Below are 21,137 nucleotides of genomic sequence, written 5' to 3'. Positions count from 1 at the left end.
TTTAAAAGGGAAATACATGATAGTACCTTCATCAGAATCCACTGGATCCTGAAAGACTTTCAATATCATTTTCATGTCAACGTATAGGAAAAATGTGGAAAAATATTCAATATATTTTGAAAAGCAAAAACAAAGAATGGATACTTGCCCTAACAGTTAATAAAATATAAAGCTAGAGGAATTGTAACAGTATAATGCTTAATGGGAATTGGCAAATACATCAGTAGAAGAGGATATGTATAGACTGAGTATACAAAATTATAGGATATTTAAGATGTATTAAGAATTTGTCACAAAATGAATGTTCAGTAGTTAATAATGCTTAAAACTCTAAAGGCTATATATGTATATGTGTATAACACTGTACCTTGTAATATACACTGACCAAGTTTTTTGTCATTTGTTTCTTGTTCTTGATTTTACATTGCTCTATTAGTTAAGAATTTTCAAGTTGGGAAAGTATTGGCCAACATTCCAGATTTTGATGTGGTCTCTTAGTAACTCATGGGTGGCCCTGAAAGACTTGGTCCTGTTGTTGTTCACATTCATCTTCTTTTCTGCTGCATTCGGCATGAAGCTGTTTGGTAAGAATTATGAAGAATTTGTCTGCCACATAGACAAAGACTGTCAACTCCCACGCTGGCACATGCATGACTTTTTCCACTCCTTCCTGAATGTGTTCCGAATTCTCTGTGGAGAGTGGGTAGAGACCTTGTGGGACTGTATGGAGGTTGCAGGCCAATCCTGGTGTATTCCTTTTTACCTGATGGTCATTTTAATTGGAAATTTACTGGTAAGTAGTCAATTCTTTTACATTTTCCATGAAAACTGGTATAAGGTAGTTTGGTATTTTCATGATGTGCATTGATGGGATCTAATGGTCTGTAACTGTGGTAGTCCAATAGAGTAACCCACTAGCCAGATGTGGCCATTATCAACTGATATATGATTAGTTCCATTTGAAATGTGCTGTAAATGTAGAATATGCACCAGATTTGAAGTCTTACACAAAAAATGATGTGAACTATTTCATTAATAATTTTTATATTGAATGCATTTTTTAATGATAATATAGTAGGTCCTCCTTATGCTCAGTTGCACTGTATGTGGTTTCAGTTGCCTGTGGTCAGCCATGGTCTGAAAACATCCAGTGGAAAATTCCAGAAATATAAAACTCATAAGTTTTAAATTGCATGTCATTCTGGGTAGTGTAATGGAATCTCCTGCCATACCACTCTGTCCTGCTCTGGGCATGAAACATCCCTTTGTCTAGCATATTCATGCTGTATACACCACCTATTGGTCCTTTAGCAGCTGTCTGGGCTGTCAGATCATGTAGTACGCATGGGGTTTGGTACCATCCTCTGCTTCTGGCATCCACTGGGGGTCTTGGGATTTATCTGCCCTGGATTAAGGGGGACTACTGTATTTGTATTTAACTAAATACAAATACTGTTAAATACAAATACAATAGTCTCCCTTTATTTATTTGTATTTAGTTAAATATATATTTAGTTAAATATAAATGTTTGTATTTATTGTATACAAATTGTATATTGTATTTAACTAAATATATTTGTTAAATAAAATGTATTAGTAAAATTAATTTTGCCTGTTTTTCTGTGCTTTCTATGTGGCCACTGGAAATGTAAAATCGCATATATGATTGCATCATATTTCCATTAGATAGCACTAGCTTCTAACCTTGTTACTCAATGTAATATTGGCATCACGTGGGAGGTGGTTAGAAATGCAGACTCCCAGACCCCAATCCCAGACCTATGCAAGCGTAATCTACATTGTAACACTGTTCCCAGGTGATTTGTGTGCCCATTAAATTTTAAGAAGCACTTAAATGTAACACTGCTGTCAGTCTTTTCCTGGCTTTGGAATTACCTGGGGAATTAATAAAAATATGCTGATGCCTAGAATCCATTCTTAGAGATTCTGATTTTATTGGTATGTGGACATGACCTGGTCATCAGGATTTTTTGAAAATCTTCAGTTGATTAAATTGTGTAGTCAAGATTGAAAACCCCTGGTCTATAAAAATGTTATGCATTAACTAAGAGAGAAAGCTTTCACTTATAAGTTTCCTAATAACTGAAGTGGTTCTAATGAATTAAATAAGTAGCTTTCACTGCATCTATGGAAAAGGTATGGCTTATTAAAACATGATTCTTACAGGAATACAAGACTTGGTATTTTCTTTTTACTCATGTCATAAAGATCAAGTACATTTCCCAAAAGACTGAAAAAAAATCGCAGGTTAGACTCAATTTTACCTGTCCACATTGCTTGTGTTTCACCTTGAGAAGACCCTTGTCATACAATTATCACATTGGCATTGTATTTAATTGTTAGTGTACTTCTCTATCTTCTTTATTAAACTGTAAGCACCATGAGGGAAAGGACCATAGCTCTCCTCTTTATTACAAAACCTAGAACGGTGCCCAACATGTAAAAAATACTTCAATATCTTCTGCCCTTTGTAGTTACAGTAGTACACTTTTCATTCCCAGTGATAAAAAACACCACTCTAACTGGCTGAAACAAAAAAATGATCATATATATCAGCATACATAACTCATAACTCAAAATATCAGAGATAGATCTTGCTTCAGTTTGGATGTGACACAAATGATTAAATGGGATCATTACAGAGAGGTCTTTGTAGATCTCAATTCTGTTTTTCTCTGTGCTCTTTGCTAGCTAGTATCTTCTGTTTTATCAAGATGGCTGCTGCAGTCTAAAGCCTCATATCTTTGTATTATATCAAGTCTAATAGAGGAAAGAATTTCTTTTCTAGAAGCCACAGTTGATTTTTCCTATTATCTCATTAGCTGAATCACATGCCCATTCTTAACTAATCTCCATTGCCCAGGGTGTGGAATGCATTTATTATGTTAAACTGTTCATAGCTCTCTCTTACAGCTGGAGATGGGATAAGATCAAACACAAATCCTATGACTAATAAGAGGATAAGTGTAATTTCCTAAATAAATTTTATGTTTCTGTTTCCAAAAGGAAGAGTTATGGCTGTTGAGGAAAGCAACAACAACACACACATTCACATAATTCAAAGAGAAAGAAGCAGAAATACTGAGGCTATATATATATATATATATATATACACACACACACACATATATGTATGTGTGTGTATGTATATATACATATATGTATGATATAACATATAAATATATATATATATATTTGCCTAAACATTCCTGCTTCTTTGATTTTGAACTCCAATCTCTTTCTATTTTTTGTTGTTTCTACTAACCAGAAACTTCATCAATGTGCAGAGGGATTCTAGGATAAATGGAGTTACATGAACCTCCATTTCCAATTCATTGGCCATCATATTTCTTGGCTCACTAAATCCTTCCAGCTTAATTTTCCTCAGCAGTCATCCAACTGTGAAACATCATGATAATGGCAGTAGAATAAGTAGAAGGGGGAAAAATGTAAGGAGATAATCTTTGAAGCTGTTGATCTTTTTAACCTCCACACTTCTAATGTGGGTTGGTGTAAAAGGAAGACATTTCACATTTTAAAAAATTAATTTTGTCTTACTCTTCTAAGAAAACTCAGCAGTGATATTAAGCCTTAAGCAGAAACCTTACAAAAAATTATTATATGTCAAAGGAAATGAATTGGTTTTTAAATAGTTCTGTCTTGTTGAGTTGTAGAAAAAGCAGAGTTCAGAATCAAAGAAACATAGGTTCAAATTTCAGTTCTATCACTGTATTAGTCCACTCTCATGCTGCTAATAAAGACATACCTGACACTGGATAATTTATAAAGTAAAGAGGTTTAATTGACTCACATTTACATAGGGTGAAGACCTCAGGAAACTTACAATCATGGCAGAAGGGGAAGCAGGCATGCTCTTCTTCACATGATGGCAGCAAGGAGAAGTGCATAGTGAAGCAGGGGAAAGCCCCTTATAAAACCATCAGATCTTCTGAGAACTCACTCACTATCATGAGAATAGCATGGAGGTAACCATCATCATGATTCAATTACTTCCCACCAAGTCCCTCCCATAACACATGAGGATTATGGAAACTACAATTCAAGATGAGATTTGGGTGGAGACACAGCCAAGCAATATCATTCCACCCCTGGCCCTTCCCAAATCTCATATCCTCACATTTCAAAACACTATCGTGCCTTTCCAAAAGTCCCCCAAAGTCTTAATTCATCCCAGCATTAACTTAAAAGTCCAAGTCCAAAGTCTCATCTGAGATAAGTCCCTTCCACCTATGAGCCTGTAAAATCAAAAGCAAGTAAGTTACTTACTAGATACAATGTGGGTAAGGCATTGGATAAACACACCCATTCCAAATGGGAGACACTGACAAAAACAAAGGGGTACAGCCACCATGCAAGTCTGAAATCCAATAGGGCAGTCACTAAACCTTAAAGTTCCAAAATGATCTCCTTTTACTCTATGCCTCACATCCAGGGCATGCTGATGGAAGAGGTGGGTTCCCATGGCCTTGGATAGCTCCATCCCTGTGTCTTTGTAGGGTACAGCCCCGATCCCAGCTGCCTTCACAGGCCGGTGTTAAGTGCCTATGGCTTTTCCAGGTGCAGTGCAGGCTGTCAGTGTGTCTACCATTATGGGGTCTGGAGGACAGTGACCCTCTTCTCACAGCTCCACTAGGCAGTGCCCCAGTGGGGACTCTGTGTGGGGGCTCCAACCCTACATTTCTTTTCCACACTGCCATAGCAGAGGTTCTCCATGAGAGCTCTGCCCCTGTAGCAAACTTCTGCCTGGACATCCAGGCATTTCCATACATCCTCTGTAATCTTGGTGGAGATTCCCAAATCTCAGTTCTTGACTTCTTTGCACCAGCAGGCTCAACACCACATGGAAGTTGCTCAGGCTTGGGGCTTGCACACTCCGAAGTGATGGCCTAAGCTATACCTTGGCCCCTTTTGGCCACAGCTGGGACAGCTGGGACACTGGGCACCAGGTCCCTAGGCTGCACACAGCAGGGGGACCCTGGGCCCAGACTCCAAAACCATTTTTTCCTCCTAGGCCTATGCCCTGTTATGAGAGGGGCTGCTGCCAAGGTCTCTGACATGCCCTGGAGACATTATCCCCATTGCCTTGGTGATTAATATTTGGCTCCTCATTACTTGTGCAAATTTATGCAGCCAGCTTGAATTTCTCTCCAGAAAATTGGTTTTTCTTTTCTACTGCATCATCAGGCTGCAAATTTTACAAATTTTTATGCTCTGCTTCTTGAACACTTTGCCACTTAGAAATTTCTTCTGCCAGATACCCGAAATCATCTCTCTCAAGTTCAAAGTTCCACAGATCTCTAGGGAAAGGGCAGAAAGCCACCAGTCTCTTTGCTAAAGCACAGCTAAAGGAGTCACTTTTGCTCCAGTTCTCAACAAGTTCCTCATATCCATCTGAGACCACCTCAGCCTGAACTTTATTGTCCATATCACTATCAGCATTTTGTTAAGACCATTCAACAAGTCTCTAGGAAGTTCCAAACTTCCCACATCTTGCTGTCTTCTTCTGAGCCCTCCAAACTGTTCCAACATCTGCCTGTTACCCAGCTCCAAAGTCACTTCCACATTTTTGGATATCTTTACAGCAGTGCCCCATTCTCTGCAGTATCAATTTACTGTATTAGTCCATTGTCATGATGCTAATAAGGGTGTAACCAAGGCTGGATAATTTACAAAAGAAAGAGGTTTAACTGACTCACGGTTCCACAGGGCTTGGGAGGCCTCAGGAAACTTACAATCACGGTGGAAGAGGAAGCAGGCATGTCCTTCACATTGCAGCAGCAAGGAGAAGTGCAGAGTGAAGGTGGGGTAAGCCCCTTATAAAACCATCAGATCTTGTGAGAATTAACTCACTACCATGAGAACAGCATGAAGGTAACTGCCCCCATGATTCAGTTACCTCCCACCGATTCCCTCCCACAACATGTGGGGATTATGAGAACTACAATTCAAGATGAGATTTGGATGGGAGCAAAGACAAACCATTTCAATCACTTAATAAATAAGTGTCTTTGTGCATATTACGCAGCCTCTTTGAACCTGACCATACTTAATGGAGGAATGAACATAACAATACTTGCCTTATAGGGTTATTATAACTTAAATGTAATCATTTAGCACCCTATAAGTAATTCATATATTACATAAATCATTTCTTTACACTGCAGAAAAATTTAACCCCTATATCTTTACCAGATTTTTCTTAGTTATTTAATATTATTAACAAGTTTTAGTTAGCAAATTTTAATTTCATTCCTGGTGTTTTACTTGTGATTTAGGTAATTGTCACCAAGTGAAATATAGTACCTGACTGGTTACATAAACCAAACACTGAGGGATAGAAACATGAAAATAAAAGAAAGAGAAAACTTAATACAAAATTCAGTTGCCTTTTAAAAATAAAAAATATGATCATAGACACATATGTTATTCCATATATATTTGTATAATCCCAAATTAAATATATGTTAAGATGTAACTCAAGAAATTTAAAATTAAATAGCCTCAATACATGTTAAATTCCTTCATACCTGTTTATTTGTTGATTACAAATCAGAAAGTACTTACTTAAATCTTGAACTTTCTTCCTCTTTCATGCTGCTTGATTTTGCTATGAGTTGCTCAATTCTCACTCAATATGTGGATATCTTTGAGGGGCAAGAAAACAAAATTCAGGGGAATTTTTTAAAAAGTTTTGTTTTATACACACTATTTCACCTTTTCTCTCAACGCAAAAATAATAAATATATGTTTTTAATCTGGTTACAGATTCTGTGACTAGAATAAAGTTACTCTGAGTTTATATAATACAAATCTCTGCATTTTCTGCTCTCTTTTTTGTTAATGCTCAAATTAGAAGTAGTAATCAGTTCTCTGTAACTTGCGCCACTTACACAGCCTGTCTTTTCCTTTAAATCCTTAAAGAGAGTAGGCTATTTTTAATTCAGACCACATCTGAACAAAGCAGTAGCATTTCTTAGTGTTATAAAATTCTTATCTTATACTACAGTTTCAGAGCACTTAGCACTTTTAAGATTACGTTCATTTTTAGGCTTTGAACATTTTCACTATATATATATAGATATATGAATGTATGTGTGTATATTTGTGTGCATGTATGTCTAAGATATAAGAAATCTTTGATGTAATTTCCTTAAAATATGATTAATATAGCATAAACTTTTTCTTGTTCAAATCCTAGCACAAAATCTATTTTTTATTCTTTCTATAATCAATTATTTTTTAAAATAAATATTTGTTTATTACCTATTTTGTGCCTAGCAGTGTGCTGGTTGTCTAATTAAGAGAAAACATGGTTTTTGTTCATATGAAGCTTACAGTCATGAAACACACTAACAGCCTTCTGTTATTTCACACTGTGCCTAATACTTAGCCAAACAATAGAAGAAAAGGAAACAACTGACTATCTTAAATTATATCTGGTCTCACCATCTTATATCAGGAAACTGTTGTCCTTTGAGAATCATAGAGTTGCTAATAGTGTGGCTCCTATGGGAGCCATGGAGGTCCTGCCTAGATTATCTATAAGTAAACCTCATTGCCAAAGGAGACGCTAGTGGGAGAACAGAAAGGATCAAAGGTTACATAGATTAGACCTAAGTCTGCTTTATTTCTTTATTTCTGAAGCTATTAGCATTTGATCATTGTCCTTTCTGTTTTAATTTTTCTCTTCTGAGAATCTTTCATTGTGGATTATAAAAGATATTTGCCAGTTTTTCAGATGCTCTCACCCACAAAACATTTCCCATATTGATATATCTTATAACCAAAATTTTATTGCTATGCTAAAACTATGGATAAGATTATCTATTTGATGACTTTATTCACTGAAAAATACTTTGATTTTTCTATACAAGTTTTATTTGAACCTTCTGTATTCCTAAGAAATAGGAAGATCTAGATAGAGAGAAGTAAATGTAACCCATTAGGATTAAACACTATTATCCCAGATGTGCATGTCCATGAGAAAAAGAGTAATTATTGGAGTGTTTGAGAAACTCAACTGTTCACATAGATCTAAAATTTTGAAAAAAGTTTCAAAATATGAGTCTTTGGAGATGCTCACATACTTATTTTATGTACACACAAATAGTCAGCCTAATTATCCAAAACTATAATATATGCCTTACAATTATAAACAAGTTTAAAATCTGATTCTCTGGAAAGTGATCAGTACTTGATCATACTTCTAAGTGATAGTAAAAGTCAAAATATACACTATCTTTGAGTTAAAAATAAGTTACAAGTGTTAGGAATGAGTCTTCCATCACTCATCTGTTTCTTATTTGACCAAATTTACTACAGCAGATAATCAACTAACCTTCCTAGCATCTGTGTTTTCATCCCACAAAAGCCATTAGATATGGTATGCAGGACCCTGGGTAGCTCTTTCCCCATATAATTCTTCCTGGGTTTGCAGAATTCTTACATGTTTTCCTGGAACAGGGCTGAAGGGAAGTGAGCTGCCTGGAAAAACAACTTATTTGCTCACCTTGGGTGAGACAGCTTGACTCAGTGAGAAAATAAGCTTTGGAATAAAGCAGACTTGGGTCTAATCTATGTAACCTTTGATCGTTTGATATTTGACATCTGTAAACCTTGCCTTTTTCATCTGTAAAAGAGAAACAAATCATATTGCATAGGATGTCATGAGCTTAAAATAAATTCTTGCTATACAAATCCCTAGCACAGCACCTGACACACTGTGGTAGGTGGATAAGAACTGAATAGTATTGTAGTTCATATGCTTCATTTTCAAATCTCAGGTCAGCCTTTTTTAGTCAAATTTATTTTTTAAGTTAATGTATAAAATTGTATGTATTTATGGTGTACAAGGTAATGTTTTGAAGTAGACATACATTGTGGAATGGCTAAATATAGCTAATTAACAAATGCATTACTTCACATGGTTATCATTTTTATGGTGAGAACACTTAACCCATTTATGCCAGAAGTTGCAATTTTTGTGTGAAAAGTCGACCTTGGCGATGACCTTGAGCAGTAGGATATAAATAACTCCCACAAGCTTAGCCTTCCAATAATGGAACACTAGGCATAAATGGGTTAAGTGTTCTTTCACACTCTGGAAGTAGAGAGCAGAATGATGGTTACCAGAAGCTGGGGTGGTTAGGGGAAAGTGGAGATTGAGGAGCTGTTGATCAAAGGACACATAATTACAGTTAAATAGGAAGAATAAGTTCAAAAGATGCATTGTACAGCATGGTGACTACAGTTATTAATTACAATATATTGTATTCTTGAAAAATGCTAACAGAGTAGATATTAAATGTTCTCATCAGTTTTGTAAACAAACTTTTCATTACTTAAAATGAAACAAAATGAGATACATTTAGCCTCATTTTACTTCCTTATTTAGGTACTTTACCTGTTTCTGGCATTGGTGAGCTCATTTAGTTCATGCAAGGATGTAACAGCTGAAGAGAATAATGAAGCAAAAAATCTCCAGCTTGCAGTGGCAAGAATTAAAAAAGGAATAAACTATGTGCTTCTTAAAATACTATGCAAAACACAAAATGTCCCAAAGGACACAATGGACCATGTAAATGAGGTATATGTTAAAGAAGATATTTCTGACCATACCCTTTCTGAATTGAGCAACACCCAAGATTTTCTCAAAGATAAGGAAAAAAGCAGTGGCACAGAGAAAAACGCTACTGAAAATGAGAGCCAATCACTTATCCCCAGTCCTAGTGTCTCAGAAACTGTACCAATTGCTTCAGGAGAATCTGATATAGAAAATCTGGATAATAAGGAGATTCAGAGTAAGTCTGGTGATGGAGGCAGCAAAGAGGTAAGATGTTTAAATATCCTGATTGCTTAGTGGTGATTTATAGTATTGTTGATAAGGAAGTAAATCAGCGCCGAAGTTCCACAGCCAGATTATCCACTCAATTCTAACTCCATCACTCCTAGCTCCATCACTCTTAGCCTCTGACTTTATGCTTTTGATCAAATTACTTAAACTTTCCAAGCTTCAGTTTTCTCATATTTAAATGAGGCTAAAATGGTATTTAGTCCATGGAGGGGGGGAGGTAATAGTGCATAGAACAATACCTAGTAAAGAGTAAGCACTTAGGAAACATTAGATGATATAATTGTGACATTCTATAAATTAATAACCAGGCAGTTTGAGGGTGCTGAAAAGTATACTGAGGAAACCAAAGTTTTCTAAATCAAGGTGTATGATTTAACAAATCACTAAATTTCCATGGGCTTTATAATCTTAAAATGGGAGATTGAATTAGAAGAGTGCTACAATTCCTTCTTGCTTGCTAAAATTCTAAGATTTGAATCAGATCATTTCTGCCCATATTTGGACATTATAATTAAGTTGGACTAAAGGAATTTTTAAAACCTCCCAGTTTGAATTTTGAACAGTTGGTAGCTTTATAACGCACTGGCTTTAAAAAAAAATCAGAGTCGCATTCAAAGAAGGGTAGATACTGCTGTTCACTTAGCTTCTAAAATATACACCCTACTGGAAACAGTCTTATTGTCTCCATTTGCAAGCAGCTTGTGTTTTAGAAGGAGGTGTAACTTCATAGAAAGCTACACCTACAGAGATCACATCTGCACAAGGGCTTTTTACCTTGGACCCCACTAGGGAATCATTTCAGATCACTCAGGGGCACTGGAGGGTCGGGGAATGTGTCTTTACAGGTCCCCATCATCTGTGGCACCATCTTGTCTCCCAGACCTCTTCTGTTTTGGCAGATGCTCTCTACAATAACTTCACAAATTGTCTTCTAAGAGGAATTCAGTTTCAATTATCCAAGGTCCTTCCATCACCTACTAAAGCCATCTTTATTTTAGTTAGAGAGACATTTTTAATCCACATGCCCAATAGTCTAAGATTCATTTACCTTTTAAATTAATACCATTGCTATAAAACAGGCATAAATTCTTACTCAGCACACTTCTCAATCTTCGTTAAAGATTTGGATTACTATCCATTTCTGGGTGAAATTGCTATTTACCACAGCACAGCATGTTGGAGTGTCCCTGAAAACTTCATGCTAATCTCCTTAGAAATTCTGGAGTATGAAAATACATAGGAAAGCTGTAACTTAAAATAACTGTAAATATTGAAATTGCAGTTTTTATTTATGCTGCATAGTTATTTGGTCTTGCTGGTTGATTAACTACTCACAAAAGATGTATTCATTTATTTATATATTTAGTTACATATTTAGTTAGATGCTTTCTAGATTATGTAGCCCATGACTACTTAGGATATTGATATACCCACAGCCAAAAATAAAACACAAAAATATTATAAATGATCTGATAATTCAGAGATACACTGTCTTGTTTCTTTGCTATTTGTACTTCCAGCCTATTTTTATTAAAAATATGCATATATATTTACATATTATAAAAATAACATCAAAATTTACATCGTGTTTTGTAACTTGTATTTTTTGTAATGCAGAAGTATATCATGGTCACTTTATGCCATTAAATAATCTTTTATCAAAATAAATGATTTATAATTTGAGTCTTAATTGATTTATTTGTAAAATTAGAAAAATACCTACTCACCGGTATTTTGGAAAAATCACATCAAATAGGATATGTACAAGGCTTTTTACAACTCTTTAAAAATATAAATTTATGATGTATAATTTTAATTACTGTCAAATATTATGTTTAAATTACTTAATGCCTAGTCTCAAATAAATATATTGCTACAGATTTTATTTCATTAGAAATAAATAAAGAATATATAAAAGTAATGGAAATAAAAATATCTGTGTAAGAATAATATTCTGCTGGATACTTTACTTTTTTTATTTGAGCACTATAATGATTTACTGACAACTGACCACGTAAGAACTAAAGCAAAAAAAGCTTTCTAATTATATTTCCTTGACACTTACTGTGTATAAGTCTAAGAGGTAGGACAAAATATTGACAATTTCTCTGGTTTTTTGGCCGTCTACCTAGATTTTTTTCTTAATTTTTATGAAATAAGATTGGTTTCATTCCAAATGTTAAAATGCGCTTGCCTTAATTTTTGTTTTAATTAGAAAATATTACTTATATGCTATTAACCTTAGATCTTGGTGATTTTAAAGAATGATTTACGGTATCCTTATTTTAAAATAAGGTAAAATAAAGTATTGTGAGAAAATAATTTTAAATAAAGGCAAAGAGTATCATTAGCACTATTACCTATGTAAAGCAATGACCACCTTATTCTACCCAGCCTTGAACTTCAGTCAAAAGCAGAGTTAGAAAGAAGGTCAATTCTGCATCTGGGTGCTTTTCATAAGGCTGTGCCCCTTTCCCAGGCCTGTTCTTGTCCCTATTTCTTGTGCCTTTCCCTCATTTTACTTCATGATAAATCCCATCCTGTGATGACATACATAAGACCATCTGGACTGAATTTTACAATGAAACCTAGGTGCACTATTATCTACCCATCTTTAGCATCAAGGGATGATTTGTTCTGATTCTACTCATCTAATTGAAATAGCATATATGGGAAACTTGTGACTTACTCCAAGAAAACTTTGGAACCCCAATCCTTTTGTGAATTGGAGACAGCCTATACATCTTTAAGAAGCAAAGTGTTATAAACTAAACATGAATTTTAATCTAAATGTTATTTTAGCTTAAAGTAAGTATCATACAATATTTTTTTAAACTTCAACTCTTACCAATATGTACGCATTTTAATCTCAGTCATGAAATTGGCCTTAAGTCTTTTAAACCTAATAATATTATTTCTGTACAAAATTTTTCTTACTTCTGAAAATGAAATAAACTTTGGCCACCATGGGTAAATGAAACTTTAATCACAACTTTTTTGGTGGGACTTCACCTTTTAGAAAATAAAGCAATCTAGCTCATCTGAATGCAGTACTGTTGATATTGCTATCTCTGAAGAAGAAGAAATGTTCTATGGAGGTGAAAGATCAAAGCATCTGAAAAATGGTAAGAAAATTTTGTTAATCTTGCTAGGAAACTAATTTGAATTATAAGTTGTCAAAATGTATATGTTCCATATCCAGTATGTCAGTCAATTGACTGAATCTTTATACATTTCTTAATATTCATGTTAAATGTACAAGTGTCACCATTACAACTTGTTTTCCTCTGACAGTTATAGGCCATTTTTATATGAGTAACTTAAATATTGGCCCTATTTCATGAGATCTAAGAACACTTCATTTGACTTCAACATATATAGGTATATGTGTGCATGTGTATGTGTATACACAAACATCTCAGTGCTGCTTTAACTATACTGATTTTCTGTTTTACTCCTAAATTGTGCTCTGTTCTAAAGCACACAGTGGTATAGCTACTAGTATAAAATCAAATATGAACATTATGTATCTTTACCCAATATTACTCACAGCATGAAAAATGTGTTTTGGAATCACCATTATTAATAATATTCCACTGCCACAATACTACTCATAGTATAATTTAACACAAGACAAAATTCCAAAATAAAATGTTTTGGCTTTAAACTCCACCTACCTCCATTTCTTTGTTTTGTCACCTGTATATCAACCTCTTCTCCAGCCTCAGGTTTCCATTTTGCTAACCCTTTTGGCCAGAGCGCAGAGTGCAGCCCCGTACACATGTACTCTACCCACAAAGTACTCCACAGTCCATGTTACTTCCGTAATAGTCTCAATAAAAATTCCCATTTTCATGCCACCTAAGAACTGGAATCAAAGCAATTAATTTGATTTAACTAATTTTATGCCTCTTAACATCTCATAAGTATTTATATTTTTAAACAGGAATGCATGTTATACCATGTGAATCTTCAAAGAGTAAATTTTCAGGCATTATATCAAAATGTAACATTCAGAAATGAGATATTTGTGTGTATTTTCTTTTGTGCTATTAGTGAATACCTATTCTCAGACTGTTTTGCAGAGTGACAACATGTTGTAGGTCATTTCTGCCTTTCACAATGCCTTTCTTTCATTACTACCGAACTCCTAAGTCCAGTTTTCCTTTTCCTGCTCAGGGATTACAGTGGTCACTACACCATGGGTAAAAATTAAATGTTTATAAATCAGAGACAACCTGGATTAGAATTTGTAAATAAATAATTGCTGTGGCACATAGTAGAAAGTTTCAGTTGTTTACTTTTTCATGAGTTTTCTAGATTGTTGTTCTTACCAATTCAATCTTGACAGGTTGCAGACGCGGATCTTCACTTGGTCAAATCAGTGGAGCATCCAAGAAAGGAAAAATCTGGCAGAACATCAGGAAAACCTGCTGCAAGATTGTAGAGAACAATTGGTTTAAGTGTTTTATTGGGCTTGTTACTCTGCTCAGCACTGGCACTCTGGTAAGTGGGCAGCCAGGGTGTTTGATACTTTGCTGGGGACAAATGTATCATGATTCTGTTAATTCAGAAAGTCAAAACCAGGATTACATTTCCAAGGATATTTAGTATAGCACCAAATAGCACCAAATTTCATAATCTGTGATTTAAAATCTAAATAATATACTTTCTTAGAAAGTTTATATATGCATCATTCAATATTAAATTTAATATTGATTTTTAATATATTATTTTGCAATATTGAATTCCAAAATATATGAGTGACAGTGGGAAATGGAATGTGAATAGATACCGGATTCTTCTGATTTTAATGAATTTTCATGTATGAAACATTTTAATGATTTGCACATCCAAAACTGCTATAATATGCTTGTACTTTGGTACCTATCAAAGGAAAGGGAACTATTGCATATGCTTTAAAGGGTCTGTGAACTACAAATGTATTTGACCCTACAATCTTAACTCTGCGCTCAGAATCTTAATTCTAAAAATATTCTACAAATATCTGCACATTAAATGGTTCTACAAGGTAATTCACTGAAGAATGTTTTGTAATAATAGCAAAGGGTTAGAAAAGAAGGTCTGTAATAGCTGACTTTATACTATGAAAAATCATCCAATGGAACTCTGTGCAGCTATTTTAAAAATTCAGAAGCTATGTGCATATTTACAATTCATCAAGATGTAGTAATAAGTGGAAAAAGAACGGTGTAGAATAAAGTGTATGGCACTCTGCCTTTTATATAGGAAAGGAATAAAAATAGAATGTATATTGGTATTTGTTTGTATTTGATTAAAGAAGATCAGAGATCTTTTAAGGAGAATTCTTACATACAAGATCTAGTTAACTGTGAGGTGCACAGAACACAGAAGATGGAGTCATGGTTGTGAACTGGACTTTGCACTGCCTATATTTTTAAATAAATTTTGTGTTATTTACCACACATATTGAAAACTCTCCATGGGTGTGCAGCAGGAATGATTTTCACAATGTGAATGCACGTTTGTGACTTAGATTGAGAAACAGAACATTTACCAGGATGCCAGAACAACACTCTTACCCCTCAGTTACTTCCCTACTCCACAAGGGTAGCCAGCATGTGGACTTCAACTGCCATAGATTAGTTTTATCCATTTCAGACTTAATAAAAATAGATTCAAACTGTGTGTTACTTTTGTATTTCTTCTTCCTCTCATTTTGTTACAGCATCCCACTTCCTCATAATGATCAGAGTCAATTATCCTTGCTGGTATGGTAACTTCTTTCTTTCTTACTAGTTGACTGGTACAAGAAATCAAAAATTAAGCAAATGACATCTAAGCTTGAATTTTAGTAGGAGACATACTATGTCTCCTAATGCCCTATTCTGGGAGCAAAGACCCCAGAGTCCACCTATCCTAAGGTTGAGAGAATGGGAAACACAAATACCCGCTAGGGGGCTTGCCAGATACTCCATACTACGCCTTTCTCCATCACAGATTCTGCTAGCATCATGGATCTTCACATGGCTCAAATGGAAAGGCTGCTTAGAATATAGTCAACCTATTTTAGTATCTTTTGTTGCATCAGATTCTACTGAAAAATAGCAATCTTCTGCATCACCTGATAATGCGTCTTTGGATCAATATTCCCAAGTGTGAAATTTTGCTTTCAAATCCTAAAGAGGTCTACCAGGCGTTGTATCTCTTTCTTAGAGTAGGAGGCACATATGTCTCTCTAAAGCATCTAGAGAACTTACCATTTCTTGTTCATCAGGTCTGATTAACATGATATCATCAATATAATGAATCAATATGATGTTAACTCCTGTGGTGCTGGAGTTAACTGTGACCCCCATGTCAACACATTATTCCTTTTATCCAGCTTCACATTCTATCCCCTTTGATCCAGCCTGTAGGCTGATAAATGGTCCTCAAATATGTCCATGACATAATCCCCAGAACCTTTGAATATTAACTTATATGGCAAAGGGTCATCACAGATCTGATCAAGTTAAAGATCTTGAGACAGGGAGATTATCCTGAATTATCTAGCTGAGCCTAATATAATCACAATGGTTCGGGCAAAAGAGATGCTGGAGGAGTTGGTGTCAGAAAAGAAGGTGATGTGAGGATAGAAGCAGAGATTCGGGTGTCATCCTTTGAAGACAGAAGAATGCACCACAGGCCAAAGTGTATAAGTAGTCACTAGAAGCTGAAAAAGGAAGGAACTGAGACCCCTCAGAGCCACCAAAAGGAACTAGCCTTCTCATCACCTCGATTTTAGCCCAGTGATTTCTGACATCAAGAATGAGAGTATATAGAGTTGTGTTGTTTTTAAGCTTCTAAATTTGTGGTAATCTGTTACAGTCACAATAGGAAACTAATAAGCAGCCCTCTCTAGATACACTACCAGGAAAGCTCCTCCATTTCCTGCTAGTACATGTTTCTAGGTCTTGCATAGGTACCAGGTTTTCTGGTATACAATCCTTCTCCTTCCTTAGCAGTCTTAGTACTTCCCAGGCCACTGTATGAAGAGAGTTGTCTCTATTTATGCATCAGGTGGCCAAGAGAGGAGGTAGAGGTAGACCTTAAAGAGAGTTTTTAAAAGACACCTACCCTATTGTAGGCCTCTTCATAATCCTCAAGAAAGACTCAATTCAGCTTGATCTTGTGGGGAGGCTCTGGAGCCCAGACTGCACCGCGCAATTTCACCTTGAGTGACAAAAGGGAGCTGGCATTTATATCTCTATTCCACTCAGCCGTTGATTGTGCTGGGTCCCTCTAGGAGTGGAAACATTGCCTCTCAGGCGGGGTGGCTCTTGTTTAGCAGAGGCAGTTCTCCAGAAGGGCTTCAGTTGTGTGTTATCAAGCAACACTCGGTTGCTGTGGAATAGTTAGGTATGCCAGTAAGGGAATTCTTGGTGGGCAACTCCAGCATCTACTACAGTGTTCAACATGTACTTGAAAAGCATGTGTCAAATGATGTAGCTGGGTGCAATTATAGTTTGTGATTTCCATCGTTCCCATCTACGATGGGAGCCTTAGTGATCTAGCAAAGATGTTTTTCTTTGGTTGGCTATAGATATAATGTGTTAAATCATCCCACTATGATTGCTTTTTTTTCTAAATCTTCTTTTGGTGTCATCAGTTTTGCCTTATATATTTTGATGACCCATTATTTTGGACATACAGATGTATACTTATAGTACTGATCCCTCTATTATTATGAACTATCCTAAGTTACGTATCTTGCCTAATTTGTTACTAGCTTTATTTTTATTAGAATTTACATGTTAAATCTTTTTGTTCTGAACATATTCTTGACCTTCTCCTTTCTACAATTAGGGCCCATCTGCTCTTTGTTGATACAGCAGCTCTGTGATGCCTTTAAAAACAAATGCTTTTTAAACTTCGTACTGTTTTTCTGGTTCTTTGCAGCAGGATCATTGGTCTGGTAAAATCTACTCTACCCATGCTAATTGAAGTGGAGGCTTTTGAACATCTTTTTATTATATTTTGCATTATGTACCTGAATAATTGAAAAATAAATACATGTAACAAAATAAAATTTTTAAGAACTTTATAATCTTTATGGACTCATTTACACAGTAATTTGTTCAATTAAAAGTCATAAAATCTATTGTTATTTTGTATTTACTTCCATTTAACAGTAGGTTTTAAGAATCACATCATTCTTTATATGAGATTATTTTAATCCTTGCTTGCTTTTTGTCCTCTTATGTATATTGATATTGAAAGCCTGCCTGCCTGTTTTCAGTGCTAAAATATTTATGAAATTGCTTTCAATGACATGATTAGACTTTACATATTCCATAGTCAAATTAAGGTTGACATTAAAACTGAGAAGCTTTGGAGAAACAGTTATAGTTTTAATTAATCGTCAGCATTTCAACTGGTTTACCTGATAGCCTTATGGATTTCTAAAGACATTTTAAAAACATATCTGTTTCTCTATGAGTAAGTGGCATATATCTGTGAGTTGGCTACCTGGAATTACATATAAGATCCATGTCAGATGTGACTAAAGGTTTTGACTCTTGTGTTAAGTTTGATTAACTGATTTTGGAGGGGATTTTTGGATCGCTATTTAAAACAATTATGAAGCCAGGTTCAGCCTATATAAGAACTAGTTCTGGGATCAATTAATGATGTCTGGCGTAGGCATGGGGTCAAATAATAATACTTATAGATTATGTCAATAAGTACAAGCATAGTGAACCAGCCCTGGAGCCTACAATCTCTGACAGTGCTCACCATATGCCTATTAGAGACAAAATTTTGTTCGCTTTTATGTCAAAAGAGTTTTTAGAAATTACCTGTACACCTAATCCTTATTTTTTTATTTTTACCCACAGGCTTTTGAAGATATATATATGGATCAGAGAAAGACAATTAAAATTTTATTAGAATATGCTGACATGATCTTTACTTATATCTTCATTCTGGAAATGCTTCTAAAATGGATGGCATATGGTTTTAAGGCCTATTTCTCTAATGGCTGGTACAGGCTGGACTTCGTGGTTGTTATTGTACGTATTTTAAAGAAAATGAAAGGCTATTTGATTTACTTTTTCTTCCTCACTCTTACTCTTTCACTTCCTGTCAGTTTGTTATATCTTTCCTTTCCCTCTCTCTCTACATTGTTGGTACATGACACCTTTCTTAGTTTGTAATATTTAACATCTATCATTTTCTTCTTATTCCAAAATTTTAAAAGTTCAACACTTTGTTCCTGGGTTATTATAATAATCACCTTGAATTTACTGTTAACCATGTAAGTTTGTTGCACAGTATCTTGATGATATCAGCACCCTAAAATCTTTAAGTTCTTCTGTTGGCTTAACTCTTAATCATATATCACAATTAGACTACTTATGATGTTCACAAGTGCAGGGCTGATCCAAACTCCCCAAATTTCTCACTTAGATCTCTACAATAGATTCCAAAGTGGTGTCCCTGCTTCTGCCCTGCATACCATCATTCTGTTTTCCACATAGCAACCAGAGTAACTGTTGTGAAATGGAAGTCAGCTCATGTCACTTCTCTTGAAACCTTATGTTAAACACCCATCTCATTCAGGGTAAAATCAACAATCTTTGCAATCAATGCTCTACAAGTATCTGTGTAATCCAACATATTCCCTGCTATGCTTCCTTCCCCCTGTCCAGGTCTATTTACTGATCCACCAGCACCAGCCTTCATGGAGCACTTCAAATATGCCAAGATTATTTTCATCTTAGTGCCTGTGCACTTATTTTTCCTTCCAGCTGGAACCTTGGCTGGCATTGATGCCTTAGCCAAAATGAAACCTTTGAAGGTCTTTCCTTACAACACTATTTAAACTGCAGCCACTCCAATACTCCCTTTCTCTTTGTCTGCTTTCTTCATCTCCATACCCCTTATTAATATTGTACCATTTGTTCATTTATTTTGTTATTGTCTGTTTTCTCCCACTAAGGTTTAAGTTCCATTAGGGTAGAATTTTTTCTTGGTTTTCTTCCCTCCTTTAAGTCATGTGCCTAGAACAATTTCTGTCATATTAGAAGGTTCTCAGTATTTTTGTTGAATGAATGAATGGCTCTCTATTCTATAAACAATGATAGAAGCTCCCCAATCTACAATTAATGATTTAAAATAGCTGACCTCTCTTTCCTAAGTTCACTCTTTCAAATTAGCCTTCAGCTCTAGCCAAATCATACTATGCCTGCAACTCGCCTTCCTGTTTCCTAGTCACTGTTCTGTGTCTAGATTCCTTCATGCTTATGAAAATAATACCCAAACTTCAAAGCCTACTTCAAGGCTGTCTCTTTAGTAAAGGGTAAAAAGAAGAAATTTTTCATAATGTTGATTTGAAAATGTAGAAAAATCTGGATATAATAAAAGTTAATATTAGCTTTACCACCTTAGTATTTATGAACATTTATTAACCTTTAATATATTTACTTTTAAAGATTACCTTAGTATCTGGTTATACTTTTTTGTAATGTGTGTACTTTTGACTTAACAATATTCATATCTTCCTTGATGCCTATCCTCTGAAAGCCTATCATGTATATTGTCTTAACCATATTTGTATATGAATGCATGTGTAACTATATTTCTTATTTTGTTTTAATGAATATACTGCATATGATTACTGTATTACAAGTAATTATGAAACTGATTCTTAATCTAATTTCAAACAAAAAAGATATGTCATTGATCATAAAGAGTATAAAATATACAACTTTTATTTATCTCACTAAAATATGTTCCTTATTACCAGAAAACAGTTTAGTTTTATCTTTTTAAAGTGATTTTAACACTCAATAATTTTCTTATAACTTTCTGTGATTATTAATGTATTTTGAAGTATATGTAAAAATAATTCACGAATTTACTGGTAAGCTTTTATTGTATATATCTGTTGTAATAAATGCAAAGTTTATTTTACATGTTATTTTGATTAATATGGAATCCTATTCACTCTTTTTTTAAAAAAAATATATAGGTGTTTTGTCTTAGCTTAATAGGCAAAACTCGGGAAGAACTAAAACCTCTTATTTCCATGAAATTCCTTCGGCCCCTCAGAGTTCTATCTCAATTTGAAAGAATGAAGGTAAGAGATAAGTTTCTAAGCTAATCTACAAATTTTTATTTGGAATTACTAAATTTGCACAAATTGGGAAGCTTTGTTTTCTTCTCGTTTGTACCTTTAACAGTATTAATACAACAAAAACTTTACGTTTCATTGCTT

General features: G+C 34.8%; 1 protein-coding gene across 9 annotated transcripts in view; it reads left to right on the top strand.

The window, feature by feature from the left end:
- Nucleotides 1-21,137, top strand: part of SCN7A (sodium voltage-gated channel alpha subunit 7) — a 90,677-nt gene that overhangs the window by 52,061 nt on the left and 17,479 nt on the right. For 8 of the 9 annotated variants that reach the window (XM_006712680.3, NM_002976.4, XM_011511615.3 and 5 more), the window contains 6 exons: nt 437-793; nt 9,437-9,871; nt 12,915-13,020; nt 14,247-14,401; nt 18,757-18,930; nt 20,892-20,999. In XM_006712680.3, coding sequence (XP_006712743.1) covers nt 437-793; nt 9,437-9,871; nt 12,915-13,020; nt 14,247-14,401; nt 18,757-18,930; nt 20,892-20,999 — 1,335 coding nt within the window. Of the gene's footprint in view, nt 1-436; nt 794-5,748; nt 5,843-9,436; nt 9,872-12,914; nt 13,021-14,246; nt 14,402-18,756; nt 18,931-20,891; nt 21,000-21,137 lie in introns of all 9 variants that reach the window. The other variant, NR_045628.1, reaches the window with a different exon arrangement.

This window comes from Homo sapiens, chromosome 2 (genome assembly GCF_000001405.40).
Source record: "Homo sapiens chromosome 2, GRCh38.p14 Primary Assembly".
Classification (NCBI taxonomy): domain Eukaryota; kingdom Metazoa; phylum Chordata; class Mammalia; order Primates; family Hominidae; genus Homo; species Homo sapiens.
Note: the sequence above shows the minus strand (reverse complement) of the source record. Positions and strands in the feature narration are given on the sequence as shown.